The sequence below is a fragment of the Homo sapiens genome, chromosome 12 (assembly GCF_000001405.40).
Source record: "Homo sapiens chromosome 12, GRCh38.p14 Primary Assembly".
NCBI classification, from domain to species: domain Eukaryota; kingdom Metazoa; phylum Chordata; class Mammalia; order Primates; family Hominidae; genus Homo; species Homo sapiens.
Genome location: NC_000012.12, coordinates 120,360,468 through 120,378,296, shown reverse-complemented (window position 1 = coordinate 120,378,296; position 17,829 = coordinate 120,360,468). Strand labels below are relative to the sequence as shown.

The window sequence follows — 17,829 nt, the reverse complement described above, 5'->3', positions numbered from 1 at the left end:
TTATTTTTACTGTTTTCTGGTTGTTAAGATAAATCCATACTCACAGAAAAAATTCATACTCATACTAACACACACGCCTCCCCACCACGTTAAACAGTTTTTACTGTTTTCTGGTTGTTAAGATAAATCTATACTCACAGAAAAAATTCATACTCATACTAACACACACGCCTCCCCACCACATTAATGGTTTGATGCAAATGGCTTATGGTTTGATGTAAATTCTTTTCCTCCACATATAGAATCATGTATTATCATTATTAATAAAATTGTCACTTTGATGGTTCCTCCCTTGGTTGTCTGACTCCTGGGGGTGCTGCGTAGCTCTTAATCCTTGCCCTTCTTGTTGTAAGGTCTCTAGAAGACCAAAACTGGAAAGGATGTAGTGATCATCTAGTCCAGAGAAGGCAACGCTATAGCACACCTTCTACTGTTCCATGACTACCTGCACCAAGGCAGACATCACTAATCAATCACCCGATTTCTATCCTTGCCCAGCCCTAGCCACTACCAGTCATTTTGGAGGTAATTTGAGAGGCCAAGTAGAAAAACTGAAACCAATTTTCCATCTCTGGAATAATATGCCACTTTCCATTTTGCACATGAATAAACTAGCGCTCAGAGAGGGGAAGAGCCTGTTTCAAGGTCAGAGGTGGAGCCCCAGGCTCCTAACTCCCTAATACTTTTTCCACTAAGTTCACAAACTCCAAAAACTATTTCCCTGGTCCCTGAAAACCTGGGCTCTAGGGAGGGTGCTTTGTTCTCCAGATGGGGCTCAGAGATGAGAACCTCCCCTCTAGCCAGCCCTTCACCTTTAGGTCTGGCCTAAGTGTAAGAGAAGCCCCTGCCTGCAGCCTGGCACCCCTTTCCCACCGTCAGCACTGACAGACCTGCGGTTTCACTTCTCCAGGTCCACAGTTTCAGTTTCCCAAAATAAACATTAAAAACAATAAAACATAAAGGAGGCATCCTCTTAACATCTTTGTCTTTGGCCCCTGAATTGTAGAATGATTAGTTGAGCAGATTAAATCACAGAGTTAATTACAGCAGAGAGGTGACTTCAGATGCTGAAACCATAGAACTCTGAAGCATCCCCCCTTTCACCGACACATCAAACCAGCCCTGGCTGTCATTGGAAGCGACAGTGAGAAAGTGAGAAAGTGGGAGAGTCAGCAGGTCTGGACAGACTGTGGGTGTTCTCAGCTGGGCAAGCAGAATAGTTTATTTAATTCCCTCCCTGCCAGGGCAGTGGGGAAAGTCGGGGGGTGGGGAATGGAGACAGAGTGTAGCATAATGTTTGGGTCAGGTAGAGCTAGATTTTTAGACTGGCCAGCTGCATGACCTTGGGCATGTCACTTCAGATGTTTGAGTTTCAGCTTCGTCATCTGTAAGGCAAGCACATTAATAGAACCTACTACATTTAATTATTGCAGTGATTCAAATGACTTGGTTAAAAAGATGTGTATCAGCCAGGCGTGGTGGTGCATGCATGTAATCCCAGCACTCTGGGAGGCTGAGGCGGGAATATCGCTTGAGCTCAGGAGTTCAAGACCAGCCTAGGCAAAAAAGATGTATGTAAAACTACTGTGTCTCCAGATTGTCACATCTGTGAAAGTAGGAATCACTGTCTGTCTCATTCACCATCTCATCCTCCAGCCCTAGCACAGTGATGGTTTCTAGGCAAGCACAACTAGTGAGGCCGGGCATGGTGACTCATGCCTGTAATCCCAGCACCTGGGGAGGCTGAGGCAGGCAGATCACTTGAGCTCAGGAATTCGAGACCAGCCTGGGCAACATAGCAAAACTCTGTCTCTATAAAAAATACAAAAACTAGCTGAGTGTGGTGGCTTGAGCCTGTAGTCGCAGCTATTTGGGGGGCTGAGGTGGGAGGATCCTTTGAGCCCAGGAGGCAGAGGTTGCAGTGAGCCGAGATCATGCCACTGCATTCCAGCCTGAGTGACAGAGTGAGACCCTGTCTCAAAAACAAACAAACAAACAAACAAAAACCAACTATTGAGTACTTAGTGTAAGGTATGGTCCTGAGGATAAGGGGTGGTGGAGGAGAATGCAAAGAGGTTTAAGGGACTTTCCCTTAGAGAGCTCCCATTCCAGCATAACAGACATTCCAGAACCATCTGTAATAATAGGTGCATTGTGTGTGCATTAAATAGGTAGATAACATAAAATTATGTTCATGATGAAGTGCATGATGGGAATTCTGGTATCAGACTTGAATTCAAATCTCAGCCCCCTCACTTACCACCCGTCTTATCTTTATTAGCAAGTTGACCTCTCAATGCTTTCATTTCCTGATCTGTAAAATAGCGACCTGCCTCAGAGAGCTGTTGCAAGGATTGAATGAGTTTCCCAACGCAAAGTGCCTGAGACACAATAATTGCTCAGAGTCTGACTCTGTTGCCCAGGCGGGAGTGCAGTGGCAGGATCTCGGCTCGCTGCAGCCTCTGCCTCCTGGGTTCAAGTGATTCTCCCACCTCAGCCTCCCCAGTAGCTGGGATTACAGGCATGTGCCACCACGCCTGGTCAATTTTTGTATTTTTCGTAGAGACGGGGTTTTGCCATGTTGGCCAGGCTGGTCTCAAACTCCTAACCTCAAGTGATCTGTCCACCTCAGCCTCCCAAAATGCTAGGATTACAGGCGTGAGTCAGCACACCCGGCACCCCCATAGTGCTTTTGATGGACTACCTTTACTTTCCCATAGTGCTTTAGAGTGTCTAAGGTGCTTTCAAATACATGATCTCACTTAAGTCTTGCAGCAACTCCGAAAGTAAATGGAAGCTCAGAAGGCTAAGTGGTGTATCCCTAGAACCACCCGACCAGAAACAGTGGTAGTCCCAAGACCAGCATATGGATCTTTGGACTCTCAGTCAAGTGCTTTCATTACTCCAGCTCATAGCCTTCTGGTTGAGTCCAGAAATCTGAGAGAAGGAAAAAAAAAGAGAGAAAAATTAGGACAAAAAAGTGAGGGACTGAAGACCTATGTCCACACAAAAACCTGAGCTTTAATCATAATTGCCAGAACTTGAAGGCAACCAAGATGTCTTTCAGGAGGTGAAGGGATGCATAAACCGTGGTACATCTAGAGCACAGACTATTATGCAGCACTAAAAACAGACAAGCTATCAAGCTATGGAAAGACATAGACGGGGTCAGGCGAGGTGGCTCACACCTGTAATCCCAGCACTTTGAGAGGCTGAGGCAGGTGGATCACTTGAAGCTAGGAGTTCCAGACCAGCCTGGGCAACATGGTGCAACCCTGTCTCTACAAAAAATACAAAAATTAGCCAGGGGCGGTGGTGTGTGCCTGTAGTCCCAGCTATTCTGTAGTCCCAGCTGTTGGGGAGGCTGAGGTGGGAGGATTGCTTGAGCCTGAGAGGTTGAGGCTGCAGTGAGCCTGAACATGCCACTGCACTCTAGCCTGGGCGACAGAGTGAAACCTTGTCTCAAACAAACAAACAAACAAACGAAACAAACGAGCAAAAAAACCCAGGAAACAAAAAAATAAAACCCACACACAAAAAAAGCCACCATAGAGGAATCTTAACTGTGTGTTACTAAGTGAAAGAAGCCAATCTGAAACAGCTACTACTGTATGATTCAAGCTATACGACGTTCTTTTTTTTTTGAGACGAAGTCTTGCTCTGTTGCCCAGGCTGGAGCGCAACGGGGCGATCTTGGCTCACTGCAAGCTCTGCCTCCTGGGTTCACGCCATTCTCCTGCCTCAGCCTCCCGAGTAGCTGGAACTAAAAGCGCCCGCTACCATGCCCAGCTAATTTTTTGTATTTTTAGTAGAGACGGGGTTTCATCATGTTAGCCAGGATGGGCTCGATCTCCTGACCTCGTGATCCGCCTGCCTCGGCCTCCCAAAGTACTGGGATTACAGGCGTGAGCCACCGCGTCCGGCCTATATGACATTCTTGAAAAGAGAAAACTATGGAGAGTGAAAGATCAGGGGTTGTCAGGGGTTGGGGGAGGGGAGAACAAATAGGTGGAGCACAGAGAATGTTTAGGACAGTGAAACTACTCTGTATGACAGTATAATGGGAGATACATGTCCTTATACATTTGCCCAAACCCATAGAATGTATAAAACCAAGAGTGAACTCTAAACTATGGACTCTGGGTGATAACAATGTGTCAGTATAGGTTCACCAATTGTAACAAATGTACCACTCTGGTGGGGGATGTTGACAGTGGGAAAGGTTACACACATGTGGGGTCAGGCGGTATGGGGAAATCTCTGTACTTTCTCCTCAATAAAAATAAAGTCTACTTTTTAGGCTGGGCATAGTGGCTTATATTTGTAATCCCAGCACTTTGGGAGGCCGTGGTGGCAGAGGATTGCTTGAGTGCAGGAGCTTGAGACCAGCCTGGGCAACATAGTTAGACCCCGTTCTGCAAAACAAAACGAAACAAAAATTAGCTGGGCATGGTGGCGTGCATGTGTAGTCCCAGCTATTTGGGAGGCTGCATTGGGAAGACTGCTTGAGCCCAGGAGGTTGAGGCTACAGTGAACCCTCATCGTGCCACCGCGCTCCAGCCTGGGCAACAGAGTGAGACCCTGCCTCAAAAAAAGAAAGAAAAAATAAAGTATATATATATAGGTATATATATATATTTTTTTAAGTGGGGGAAGTTTGTAAAATGGGCTGATTATAAATGCATGGCTCTTAATCAGCTTACAGTAAATTTTTCCTTGTCTTGCATGGACAAGAAATGGGAAGTTCCAGGTAATTCAGGGCTTTGCTTGGATATTGCATTTTCTTTTGTTCTTTTTTTTTCTGAGACGGAGTCTCATTCTGTCACCCAGGCTGGAGTGCAGTGGTGCAATCTTAGCTCACTTCAACCTCCGTCTCCTGAGTTCAAGCAATTCTCCTGCCTCAGTCTCCCCAGTAGCTGGGATTACAGGCGTGCGCCACCACGCCAGGCTAATTTTTGTATTTTTAGTAGAGACCGGGTTTCACCATGTTGGCCAGGTGGTCTCGAACTCCTGACCTCGTGATCTACCCACCTCGGCCTCCCAAAGTGCTGGGATTACAGGCGTGAATCACTGCGCCCGGCCAATATTGCATTTTCAAAGAATGAGAACACTGTGAAATACTCTGCACGCTAAAACCACATGGACTATAATTTAATCTTTAATTTTGTTGTTGTCATTCTCAAAGGCTCTTCAATATATCTTAAAGCTGTGTTTCTCCAAGAGTGGCCAAGGAAAACCCTCAGCTCTCAGCCTTCTCATCTGATAGAGGTGTCTGTTCAAAAACTGCCATTTTCTGAGCCCCCATCCACCCCTAGTCCACTTGACCTACAGTTTTAGAGTAGTGAAAGTCAAAATATGAACGTTAATTATCATTGTACTTAAGAGATGCAGACATTCTGCTTAAATGAGAGTTCTGTATCATAGAGTAGACTCATTTACCTCATCTCCTTCAAGTCTTTGCTAAAACGTCTCCCTCCCCATGAGAATGTTGTTGATTTAAAATTGCATCTCAGGCCAGGTGTGGTGGCTCACGCCTGTAATCCCAACACTTTCAAGGGCAGAGGTGGGCAGATCACCTGAGGTCAGGCGTTCAAGACCAGCCTGGCCAACACGGCGAAACCCCATCTCTACTAAAAATACAAAAAATTAGTCAGGAGTGATGGTGGATGCCTGTAACCCCAGCTACTGGGGAGGCTGAGGCAGGAGAATCACTTGAATCCAAGAGGCAGAGATTGCAGTGAGCCGAGATCATGCCACTGCACTGCAGCCTGGGTGACAGAGCAAGACTCCATCTCAAAAATATATATATATATAAAATTTCATCTCACCTTCTTCCCAATAGTACCCACCCTCCCTATCACCCTTCCTTCTCTGTGGCACCTACAACATCTAACTGAACACACCATTTATTTATCTATTGTTTATTCATTCATTCACTCATTCATTCATTGACTCATTCATTCATTCATTTACTTGTATGACTCTCATCTCTAGAATGCAAGCTTTACAAAGGCAGCTGCTGGGACTACAACACCTAGGACAGTGTCTAGTACATAGAAGATGTTCGGTAAATACCTGTGCCAAGTTGCATAATATCATTTGCCCACTGTCTTTCTCAAGAGGATTTTTTAAAAACTATAAAGCAAATTCTTCTTTTATTCTTTGAGTGATGTTCTGTGTGTGTAGTACCAGAGAAAAAGAGCTGGAACCACATCCTCTAATCTCTTAATTCTGAAGTCTGGGCCTGTTGCTCTAAAGATCATTTTTCCTTAATACCACTGAGATCCTCAATTTACTATGAGGATCATGAGTTTACAACTGCATTGTCCTGTGAGGGCTACCTCTAGAAGGGCTTGTCGCCCCTATTGTGAACAAAGTGGACTGAAGCTGCTGCAGCTGAGATACACCTGCACTGAAAGAGGATTTGTCTAAGTCTAACCCATGTTACTGTGATACAAACAAGCTACTGACCAAAAGAGGTAGACGCTTCCTCCTCAGATTCTGAATGAATATGCTAATACATGGATCCTATCTCAAGCTACTTCTTACACAGCATTGGCTGACTCTGAACAGATGCCTTTACCCATTTCCTTTTTTTTTTTTAATCCAAAATGTGTTTATTGAGATGGTTTCCCACTCATCTTGATTCAGAGTGCTTTGGGTGCTGCTTCCTCCTGAAGGAACATCCTTCTGTAGCCTTCCTTTTCCTCCTGTAGGCTGGCAGAGAACAGTGGAGCAGGCAACACACAAAACTACCGTTTGTGCATGGCTACAGACCATGGTGATTTTATAGCATCCTGGGCATGTCATATCCATGAAGTAGGAATCGGGACTCTGCACCAGGCGTTTCTTCTTCTGTTTCCTCTTCTCTTCTGGAGAAGGATGAAGGAGATCCCTGTCGAGAGGCATGTTCTCGTGGGTAGGTCGCCACTGCCGGAAAGGACCCATTTCCTATCCTTCAAGCTCATCTGCCCAGCAGCACCAGCACACAAACCAAAGTCCAGGAACACTGGAAGATCCCTACTCCCCGCACCTCTCCAATGACCCTTTTTAAGTTCAGACCTAAGAAGAGTCACCTCCCTAATACCGCAGAGGCTACCTGCTCACCCTCATCTGTGTCTCTGCTACAACACAAACTGGAATGCTTTTGTGTCGGAATGGTAAGAAATGCCTTGTGTGGGTGGCCCTCCAGTCCCCAGTCCAGGGGATGCTGAGAAACTGTGGGGCAGAGTAGGGGACACAAACAGGAAAAAGCAAGTTTGTTTCTAGTGTTATGCTCACAGGGTGGCAGGATATACCTGCTGAGCATTCCCAGAAGGTCCCCAAGGAAACCATTACTGTAAGTCTCTCACTTTCTTCTCTGCCTGATGGTTGGGGTGGGGAGAGGGAAGGAGGGCTATCAAGAGGGGGATGGGCACCCTTCCAGAGGTCAGAGTTATGATGCCCAGGAATAAAAGGTGTTGAATTCAGGATGGAATGTGAAGGTGAACAGCAAAGGGCTTGTCAACATGGGTTGTCACTGGATTACACCGGATGGATTAAGGTAGGGATGGGGGAAGGAGTAGAAGGTGAGTTGGGAGGGAGGGGCTTGTGTGGCACTGAGACCCCCAGCAGGGATGGGGAGAAGGGGTGTTGGCCACCTAAGCTTCCTGGTTTGATCCTTTTTTGGCTGGTTTCAGCTGGGGAAGTGAAGGGTCCTAAGGCTTGGATATGGAGAGGTGGGAATATGGAGAGGTGGGGATATGGAGAGGCGGGGATAAGGAGAGGTGGGGATAAGGAGAGTGGCCCCGCAGCTCCCCTGGTGAACCAGAATACTTTCTCAGGGTTGTTCCCAGGCTGGAGGGAGGGAATTTTAGGGGTACGTAAGGTGACTCCAAGGAGCCTTGGGTGCAAGTACTGGGGGATCCCAGAGACCCAGAAGATGGGGGTAGAAAGGAAGGTGTTTGCCTTCACGGGGAGTAGCCTCAAAATAAGAGGGACTGAGGGAAGTCATTCCAAATGCAGTGGGTAGGTAGTTTAGGCTCTTCCAATGGGATGGGGTGGAGCTTAGACCTCTGCAAAAGAAGGGGGTCATTCGGAGGGGACGGTGCACAGCTGAGGCGTTGGGCTCCTAAACTGGAAACAGGAGGCTCTAAGAGGCACTGCCTTTTCCTCCAGCCTCGGTGTGGTGGGGGTGGTGAGTGTCTGGAACCGGGTTTCCCGAATCAGGACAGGAGTCTGAATGGATCTCACAAAAACCGGCCAGGGAGGGAGAGAACCAGGGGAGACTCCTCACACCGGGAGGTGGGGGTGGCGGCAAACTGAGAACCCGGGCTTGGGGCGCGGGATTTTCTCAACAGACCATAGGGTCCACTAATGTGGACGGCAGGGATTTGGGGAAACTAAGGGGGACTCTCACTTTGGACACCAAGGGCTGAGGACGGATTGGGGAAGAGGATACGGTTTCTACTGGGGTGCTGATGGAGGTTCCCCACTCGGGACGCGAGGCACTGAGTGGGTCCCCCAAACTGGATATGGGATCCTGGGAACGGAGCGAGGGCTCTAAATTAGAGCCCTGGGGTGGGGGTGGGGGGCTGTAAATTAGGTTGGGAGGAAACTGGGGGCTCTGAGGGCGGCTTCTCGCTCCGACTGGGGAAATGGAGCATGTGGGGACTGGGGAGCACTAGGGCTATCTCCCGCCCGACCCGAGGAGATTGGGGTTCTCTTCAATTCTGGACAGCAGGGACCTGAGAGGGAAGACCGGGGGGGTTCCCGATCCGGAACCGAGCTACCTTGAAGGCACCGGGAAGCGCTTCATTCCGGGAGGGCGTTCCCGCGGCCGGGCCCCCGCGCCGGGGTGGGTGGGGGGTGCGGCCGCGCCCTGGTCCCGGCCCGCACCGGGATTCGGGGGTCTCGCTCGGCCCCGGAGACCCAGGAGCCCCGCGGGAAGGGGGTCCCGGCGCCGCCGCCTCCGCGGGCGCCCGGGCTCGCGGGCGAGCGCGGGGCTTTATGCGCGCAGGGCGGCGGGGGGAGGAGCCGGCAGGTCGGCCCCCGGCGGGCCCTCCCCTCGGCCGTCCCCGCCCGCCCGCCCGAGCGGGGTCGGGGGAGGGGGCAGCATGGCCTGTCCGTCCGGCCCCCTTCGCCGCGCTCCTCATCTGCCCCGCGCCGAGCGCCGCCGCCGCCGCCGCCGCCGCCGCTCCGCTGCCCGCGCCGCCCGCGGCTCCCGATGGAGACTGACGCGCCCCAGCCCGGCCTCGCCTCCCCGGACTCGCCGCACGACCCCTGGTACGGCCCGGCCCGGCCTGCTTGGCCCGCGCCCGCCCCGGCCCCGCCAACATGGCCGATCCGGGTCCGGCCGGGCCTCCCCGGAGCCCGGGCCCGCGCCCCCTGCGCCCTGGCGCCCGGCGCTCACGCGGGCCCTTTGTGTCTCTCCTCCTCCCGCAGCAAGATGTTCATCGGGGGACTCAGTTGGCAGACTACGCAGGGTGAGCGAGCCCGGGAGCGCCCGCCGGTCCGGCAGGGCACCCCGGACCCCCCGGCGCCCCGGACCCGGACACCCCAGCCCGGCCCTGCGCCCTGCTGACCCCGGGCGCCCTCGCGCCCTCTTTCGCGCCCCGCCCGGAGACCCCGAGAGCGCAGGGCGATCCGCGAGCGCACCCGGCCCAGCGGGTGGAGGGGAGCAGATGAGGGGTTCAGGGGGTATCGGGGGGTGGGCTGGGCCCCCGGGACCCGCCGGCGGCAGCGCCAACTCCGCTCGCACCTGCGGCTCAAACTTTTGTGAGGCTGCTCCCGGAGCGGCGGGAACCCGGCCGGAGCCGTCCCCCTTCCAGCCCAGCTCGGCCCTCGGCTTCCCGGGGCCCCGGTGGGCGCCAGGAGGCTCAGCGGGAACGGGGCGAGGGCGGTGGGGGGCGGCGGCAGTGGAGAACGCGCGGGCAGCTTGGCGCGGGGGCGGCCGGGCCGCTCCGGGGTCACCGGGGGCAAAGGACGGGGGGGGGGGAAGGGCGCGGGGCCCGGGCTGGTCCGAAGGCGGGTGTGTGGTTACAGAAGGGCTGCGCGAATACTTCGGCCAGTTCGGGGAGGTGAAGGAGTGTCTGGTGATGCGGGACCCCCTGACCAAGAGATCCAGGTGAGCCCCTCACCCCCTCCTCCTGCTCCCGGCTCGCCCCCCTCCACCCGCCACTCACTGCCTTGTAACCATCTGCCTCTCCCTCACTACGGCGCGCAGGGGTTTCGGCTTCGTCACTTTCATGGACCAGGCGGGGGTGGATAAAGTGCTGGCGCAATCGCGGCACGAGCTCGACTCCAAAACAGTGAGTGGCCCTCGGGGCTTCGGGGGTCCTTTGGGAGAGGGAGGCTGCCGGAGGAGAGGGTCAGGACTCTCCCCAGGGGACAGCTGGACGGGGTCCATGAGGAAGGAGGGAGTTTTTCTGAGTAAGAGGGCTGCCATGCTCTGAAACTTTGTCACTAGAGTTGGGGGGGAGAGGGAGGAGAAAAATCCCTGGCCTGCCATGAGATGCTACATCCCCCCTCCCCTAGTCCTGGTGAGGGGAGAGGCAGCCGCCACCCTCTCCCTAGAAGTACTAATCATGATGCCTCAGAGCAGAGCTTGGGGTGGGGCTAGGTCCCTCCCCCAGCCCAAATTGGGTGAGTCAGGGTAGCACTGACCCACCCGGTGGCTTCTGTGAACTCTAACTAGTATTTGGCTCTGCGACACCCCCTCTTCATCCAGACCAATGGCAAAGCATCCCTTGAAGCCCCCTCCCTCTCTCCTTCCCTCCTCCCCCGACTTTTGGTCAATGAGCTCCTTGCTTTGTGTGGAAGACAGGGACCTGCTTTGCCCACGGAGGGGATTTATGAGAAAGGCTCTAGCTTGCCTGGAAACGACCCTTCGGAAGACTAGATCTTAGGAGAAGCTGCTTGGTTGGCATTCAAACTCATGGAACATTTTGCTGTTGTCCCACAGCTCCTTCGTGTCTTAGACCCTGCAGGGGGCGCTGGCTCCAGGGCAGATGGAAAAGTAGAAAAGTCAGAGGAGGGGGTTACTCCCATGTGATGGGGGTGTCTGTCTGCTGGGGGCAGGGATAGTGTGGATCTCTTCTCTCCATGCTTCCCTGCTGTCCCCCAGCCTTGGGCCTCTCTGCTTGGGTCAGTCCCTGGCTCCCGTTTACCTGCAACAATAGCTGCTTGTGCCCAAGAATTTGTCAAATTACCGCCTGTCCCCAGCTCCTGTTATCTCTGCCCAGTGGCTCCCGCTCCCGCTCGCAGTAATGAGCAAATGAGGCCAGGCCTCAACTTTGCCGGCTCTGAAAGGATCTTCTTGGCGCAGCCTGAGTGACCCAAGCCTGGAAATGGAGAGACAGTGGCCTATTGTTTTTGGTGATTATCTGCCATCAAGCTGCCTGTTCTGCTACCATCCCCTGTCCTCAGAATGCACTGATGGCTTCTGCAGTGCTGAGGAAGCTGAGATTTAGGGGCTGGGGGATGGAGGAGTGGAAGATTGATAAAGGGGAAGAGAATGAGGGAGGAAGGAGGGTGAGATGAGCATCCTTAGGAGATGGGGCTGAAAAGGGCCAGGGCTTTGTCTGTGTTTGGCGTCCTCCAGCCTGGGAAAGGGGGTGGGAGGGAGGTTTACTGTGGGGAGTCTATTTTGAGCTCTGACTTTCACCTTTTATTTACTTGTTGGGTTTTATTTATGTTGCCAGCTGTGAGTCACAGTGGAGGTGGGGTGTGTCAGGGATGGGGTGTGCGTGGGTCTGTGGGATCGTGGCTTGGGTACCATCTCCCCATCGGGGTCTGTGTAGGGGGACTGTGTGTGGTGCGCTGGTGGCTGGGGCGGCTGCTTCTGGGAGAAAGAGAAGGATGGACATGTCCGTGGAGGTGTGGAATTGAAACTTCAGGCGGGAGAAATGGGCAGTTGTGATTTTTCCCTGGAGCCCAGTGGGACTTGGCAGGAGAGGAGGCATTGCCCCAGTGTGGATTTTGGAGGTTCCATCTCTGTGGACAGATTCCAGTGGGGGAGCCTGTAGGAGGCTAGTTCCTGGTCTGTGCCATTCAGAGAGAAGCCAGAGCCAGCTGCCTAGAACGAGGCTGAGTTTTGAACAGAAGGAACTTTGGGAAAAGATAGATCTTCCCTGCGATTGGCTGGTGAACTTATGAATGACGTCCACCCATGTGGGTGGCAAAAAGCTCTGGCCTGACCTGGCCCTGTAGGCCCTGCATGGATCACAGCGTCTCATGCCCTGTCTTTTGCTGTTTGTCGTACAGCTATAGTACCCAGGAGTACACCCAGATGCATCTTGATTTTTCCCTCTGGTTGTTCACAGCCAAGGGCAAAGGTGGCCTGCTGGTAATAGCACCTTTGTTTGTGCAATGAAGGGCAGTTCACAAAGGGCCGCTTTCACCCGCGTTATCTCATCTGATTCCCCGCAGCTGCCCCTGGGAAAAGCGGGTGTGATTGTCCCCACTTTGCAGATGAAGGAACTGAGGCTCACAGAGTTCGAGTGCATTACCAAGATCACAGGCTTGGCAAGAGGCCCAGAGTTTCTAGGTCAAGTCCCATGCCCTTTCACGTCACCGAAGACTGCACTCTGCCTTGCCCCAAGCCTAGCTGCATTATCAAGGAGCTGTTTGCTCACAGCCTCAAGGAGAGCTATTTGATGTTGATAGTACTGCGAAAACAGAACTGAGCCTACTCCTGATGGTTATGAACTCTCAGCTTGTAGCCTTTTGCAGACAAAGAGTATTCCCATTTGCAGGGTTTCCAAAGCCTGAATTGCATACCTTACCTAGATAGGTCATCTGTGTGAAGTCAGTTACGCAAGGAAGGCCCTCGATTTACCTGATACTTGAAGGAATAAGACGGCTTACATTTTTTTTGTTTTTGTTTTTGCTGTGAGCTAGACACCATGCCAAATGCTTTGTATGCATTATCTCCAATAATCTGCTGATGACCCTTTGAGGTGGGTGTTATTATTTGCCCATTTTGCAGGTGAACTTGACCCTGACGTTCAAAGAGGGGAAATAACTTGTCCATGGTCTCACAGCTGGGAAGCAGTGCAAATGGGATTTGAACCCAGCAGTGGGACGTTAGGGTCTAAATGCTTAACTGGCTGGGCGTGGTGACTCGTGCCTGTAATCCCGGGACTTTGGAAGGCTGAGGCGGGCGGCTCACCTGAGGTCAGGAGTTTGAAACCAGTCTGGCCAACATGGTGAAACCCCGTCTCTACTAAAAATACAAAAATTAGCTGGGTGTGGTGGTGCGCACCTGTAATCCCAGCTACTAGGGAGGCTGAGGCAGGAGAATCACTTGAACCCGAGAGGCAGAGGTTGCAGTGAGCTGAGATCGTGCCACTGCACTCCAGCCTGGGTGATAGAGTGAGACTCTGTCTGAAGAAAAAATAAAAATAAATGCTTAACCACTATTCTCTCCTCCTAGAGGCTTTTGTGATTTCTGTCACCTTTGTGTCCTGGGAGGAGAGAGGTCCTGAGGGCTGAAGGCTGTGTGGTCGCTCTTCTAAAAATGCGATAACCAAGACCCCTTCTACCTCTCCCTTTTCTTGTAGATTGACCCTAAGGTGGCCTTCCCTCGGCGAGCACAGCCCAAGGTAGGTGTGTCTATGTCTGGGAGGAGCTCTCTTACTATGGGCAATGCTGGGCAGTGATTTTCCCAGTATTTCCTGCTCTGGAAGATGCTTCTGGAACCTCTGCTTGGAGTGTTTGTGGAATGGGCTGGGCTGGGAAGAGGGGATTCTTGACGTCCTTGCTCTGTGGCCTGAAGACACTATATGTCTTTCCACGTGAGCTCTGGGGTGGACTGGAGAGGGGCTTGTGTGTGTTGGGAGAAAGGGGAGCTACTCAGAGGATTCATCGTCCTGTATTTGAACCCAGTAGAGTTTGGAGCCTGAGTCTAATTCCAACATCATAGACCACAGCCTTGATGTCCAGGCCTCTGGAAGTGAAATACAGGACAGACTTAGACCCTAAGGCCGCGCTACAGGCAGGCTAGGGAGCTACCCTTGGATCCCCCCAGTCACCCTTTGCAGAGGCAGAGGGGACCACAGACTCTGTCACCTGTTGTCTTTCAGTTTAGATGTCTGTGGCTGCTTTCTCAATGCTCTCTTACCCTGCTGCTCTGGCGAGTTCTCCCAGTGAGAGGGTCAAGGTGCGCAGAAAATGGATTTCTGAGCAGTTGAGTGATACAACACTCAAAAAACTTTTGGTGCAGGGCAGGGGCCTAAGAGTCTATTCTAGGCCTCAGGGCAACTAGCCAGGTCTTCCTTTTGAAGCAATTGAATATAGAGGACAGAAGGAGAGACTGATTGCGGAACATGGGGTCAGGACCCCTGAGTTTACTGACTTATCATGGGTCCTAGGACGAGGTCCCTCTCTAGGAGAGTTCGGTTTCCTCCTTTGCCAGGTGGAACTAGAGCTCTTTAAGATTCCGGGCCAGTGAATTCCATCAAGTCCCCCAACTCCTGCCAGGGCTGAAGGAGAGGAAGAGTTTTGGGAGACAGGAAAGGGGCATCTCTGGAAGGGTCCAGTAGAGGGCCTGAAAGCAATTATGGAGCAGGTATTCGAAGGAAGCCGCACCAGGGAGCACATGGTTGGAACTGGGTTAATTCCATTAAGCAGTTTGGTGACAGAAGGTGCTTTAGTGTTAGGATGGGGCTGGGAATTGCCGCGGATTAGCCATGCGCTCCTGGGGTAATTAGGACCATGTGTTCTTCCTAAAACAGGGCTGGGGCCACAGGGCTGCCAGAGGTTGTGTTGGGAGGAGGCTGATGAGGAAAATGTCGGCACTGAGTTCAGGGAGACTCTGTGATGGACCTTGGGGGGTCTCCCAGGAGGGCCAGTGAGGTCTTAGTGTTAGGCTGTGGGTCTGGGTCACTGGCCCGCCCCCTTCCCTGTGTTAGTCCTTAGGGAAGGCATTTTCTGGACATAGTCCCTAGGGAGGGAGGCAGGAAGGAGGCACACTCGAGCCAGCCAGGGTGTGGGTGCACAGCTGCCCATGACAGGCCTAGAGGCGGGGGTCCAAGAGGGAGCTTGCGGGGGGGGGGCCTTTAAAGAGGCTGGGGCCACAGAGAGCTTGTCAGCTGGCATCCTGGCAGGGGGGCTCGAGCCCCTGCTGGTGGCGGTAGGCCACAGGACTCAGATGCCCACTTTCTCATTCCCTCCCCTAACAGATGGTGACTCGAACGAAGAAGATCTTTGTGGGGGGGCTGTCGGTGAACACCACGGTGGAGGACGTGAAGCAATATTTTGAGCAGTTTGGGAAGGTGGGTTTAAACTGGGGGCGCTTGCTGCTGGGGCTGTGAACACACTGTAGAATGGGGCACTAGCAAGCCGAATCCAGCCAGGTCATTCCATTCCTGCAAAAGATGAGAGTGGGGCTGGATCCTGCTGTGGGGGCAGACCAGGCCAATCCACCTTGCAGCCTCCTGGCTCATCTGTGAGCTTCAGACTCAGGATATCCCTCGGGACAGAGAAGCCACACAGTAGCTGGCCCTGTTGTTGCCCTTCCACTGTATTTTTCTCTTACTTATCTTCATTCTCACAAGGGAGGCAGTGCTCCCACAGCCAGTTCAATCAAGTCAGCCCGTGGCCTCCTGGGAGTTTGCACCTGTCCAGGCCACAGGCTATTGAACCTTTCCCCACTCCTTCCAGGCGAGGATGATAAGGAGGCAATAAATATGACTCCCAATTGCACTCGGCACCCTATTTGCACAGGTGGGGAGCTTGGAGCCAGAGCTGGGGGGCTGCTGGTCCCCTGGGTATTGGGGGGAACTGATGAGAGCATCCCCCAATTCCTGATCAGGCCCAGAGGATTGGCTGTGAGCTGTAAGGGGCATGGAGCTTTAATTTCTGGGCCTCTGAAGAGGTAGATGTTGTGGCGACATCCGACATTAGGGTGTCCTCTGAAAGGTGGACAATGTGAACTTTGGAGTCCCATGGGGAGATGGCAGAGAGGGTCCTACGTTTGAAGTCTAGGAGGGAAAGAGGGTTGTTTTGCTTGGGGCCGGGGTCCCTGGTCTTTCTTCTTTTAGGTGAGACAGGCGAGAGGCTGGGTCTCTACTTTCCCATCAAGACACTTCGAGTCACCCCCAGGCAAGCGAAGGGGGACGTGGCCTGGGAAATGGGCCTGGGATTGTGTGGGGGGGGGAGGTGTCCCCTGGCCAGCTGAGGCTGGTGGTGTGGGGGACCAGAGGCCTCGGCTTTCGTGCCTCGGTGGGCACCTGGGTCCGGGACAGAGGGCAGGTCGGGCGGGCCCGGGCCCCAGAGGGTAGGGCGCTCCTGGGAAGCAGCAGGCCCGGCTCGGCTGCGGCGGGGTGTCTTTGTGTCTGAGCGCCGAGCATTAGAGCTCGCACTAATCTGATCCAGCAGCTGTGATTGGAGGCCGCCTGCCCCCGGGGCCGGCGTTGCCATGGCAACCGGGCCCCAGGAGAAGCCGTCAGCGGCCGCGTCTTTTGTTCGGGCCTAAATCGGCGTTGGCATGTGAAACCGGCCCGGGGAGGCCAGGGGGAGCCGGAGAATAGGCTGCCAGGGAGCGAGGGGGACAGCCGGGAATGCCAAGGGCCCCGCGGCGGGGGGCCCCCCGCCCGGATCGAGGGGCCGCCGCCGAGGGGGGAACAATGGTCAGCCGCCATGGCTGCCACTCAGGCTTAGCGGCCGCCGAACTTGGCGGCTCGGCTCCTACTGGTCAGCAGGCCTCGGCCGCCTCCCCTCCCCCCGCCCGATCCCCCCTGCCCTCGGGTTCCCATGGAGACCAAAGCCTATTAAGGACACTGGGCCGGGAGCCTCCCTCCCCTCAGCTCGCCCCAGGAGGGGACACCGGTGGGGCTAACCCGGACCCCCAGCCATCTTCCTTGCCCCCTGCCCTGGCCTCAACCCCACCGTCCCACTAGGGGCCTCTCCAGCCAAGGCCCAGGTTGAAGGGTGTAGTGGGGCCAGGGATGGTGGCCTTCCTTGCAGGGTTGGGTGGAGGAAGGTGGGAGAAGTTGTGGATTTGGGCTGAATCCATTTGTGGGTCAGGCAGGGACTCGGAGCTGTAGGATTAGGGGGGAGGGTGTGGCTGGTTCGTTCATTCATTCATTCATTCATTCAAAAAATGATTGACCTCCAGTCAAGGTGCTCAATAGGATGGTGGTCATGGCCCTAAATGACACAGACGATGTCCTCATGCAACCTTCAAGCCATTAGTATCTGGCTGCTCTCTCCCCAGCTTTGCCACGTTCCCCCCGTGTAACTATGGGCAAGTCCCTCCCTTGTAAAGATAATAATAATAGCTATTATTTATTAGGCACTTACTATATCCTGGGTCTGTGAGTTAAGAGTGTTACATGCACTATCTCACTAAATCCTCTCATAGCCAGGCTTGGTGGTGCACACCTGTAGTCCCAGCTACCAAGGAGGGTGAGATGGGAGGATTGCTTGAGCCTGGGAGTTCAAGACTAGCCTGGGCAATATAGCGAGAACCCTTTTCCAAAAAAAAAAAAAGGTGTCTTTCATTTAACTTCAACCTGTGAGATAGACACTGTTATGCCTATTTCACAGATGAGGAACCAAAGCCAGAGAAACATCAAGTCACCTGCCCAAGGTTACCCAACCAGCAAATGCAGGATCCAGGATTCCAGCTCAGGCCCGTCCTACCCAAAGCCTGTGCTATGACCACAATCCTTCTTTCTGGGTTTCTGTTTTTCATTGGTTAAGTGAGGGGTGGGCAAGATGTGCTGAACCTGAAATGATTGTCCCATTCGGGTGGTCCAGCTGATTTGGGATTGGGACTCAGAGTGGGTCCATAGGATGGGAGTGAGAGTGCCACTCTGTTGCGTGGGCCCCAGTACAGGCAGCTCT

At 53.3% G+C, this 17,829-nt stretch overlaps 1 protein-coding gene and 1 pseudogene across 23 annotated transcripts in view, besides 4 other annotated features; one reads left to right on the top strand and one right to left on the bottom strand.

The window, feature by feature from the left end:
* Window positions 1,333-1,833: an enhancer, noted in NCBI's record as "H3K27ac hESC enhancer chr12:120814267-120814767 (GRCh37/hg19 assembly coordinates)". NCBI's record gives its function as "activates a minimal SCP1, AML or CMV promoter by ChIP-STARR-seq in primed H9 embryonic stem cells {active_cell/tissue: H9 hESC(primed)}" and the evidence as "EXISTENCE:reporter gene assay evidence [ECO:0000049][PMID:30033119]".
* On the bottom strand, window positions 6,602-6,942 carry RPS27P25 (ribosomal protein S27 pseudogene 25; annotated as a pseudogene).
* The window catches only part of MSI1 (musashi RNA binding protein 1), a 29,503-nt gene continuing 20,806 nt past the window's right edge, over window positions 9,133-17,829 (top strand). For 5 of the 23 annotated variants that reach the window (XM_011538361.4, NM_001414488.1, NM_001414487.1 and 2 more), the window contains exons 1-6: window positions 9,133-9,264; window positions 9,424-9,464; window positions 10,024-10,105; window positions 10,205-10,289; window positions 13,542-13,583; window positions 15,162-15,254. In XM_011538361.4, coding sequence (XP_011536663.1) covers window positions 9,206-9,264; window positions 9,424-9,464; window positions 10,024-10,105; window positions 10,205-10,289; window positions 13,542-13,583; window positions 15,162-15,254 — 402 coding nt within the window. In that variant the 5' untranslated portion in view covers window positions 9,133-9,205. The other 18 variants (XM_047428872.1, NM_001414497.1, NM_001414496.1 and 15 more) reach the window with 12 other exon arrangements.
* Window positions 12,380-12,570: a silencer, noted in NCBI's record as "fragment chr12:120803530-120803720 (GRCh37/hg19 assembly coordinates)". NCBI's record gives its function as "represses an EF-1alpha promoter that drives an FKBP-Casp9 reporter gene in an ReSE screen in HepG2 liver carcinoma cells {active_cell/tissue: HepG2}" and the evidence as "EXISTENCE:reporter gene assay evidence [ECO:0000049][PMID:32094911]".
* Window positions 15,968-16,685: an enhancer, noted in NCBI's record as "OCT4-NANOG-H3K27ac-H3K4me1 hESC enhancer chr12:120799415-120800132 (GRCh37/hg19 assembly coordinates)". NCBI's record gives its function as "activates a minimal SCP1, AML or CMV promoter by ChIP-STARR-seq in naive H9 embryonic stem cells {active_cell/tissue: H9 hESC(naive)}" and the evidence as "EXISTENCE:reporter gene assay evidence [ECO:0000049][PMID:30033119]".
* Window positions 16,686-17,404: an enhancer, noted in NCBI's record as "H3K4me1 hESC enhancer chr12:120798696-120799414 (GRCh37/hg19 assembly coordinates)". NCBI's record gives its function as "activates a minimal SCP1, AML or CMV promoter by ChIP-STARR-seq in primed H9 embryonic stem cells {active_cell/tissue: H9 hESC(primed)}" and the evidence as "EXISTENCE:reporter gene assay evidence [ECO:0000049][PMID:30033119]".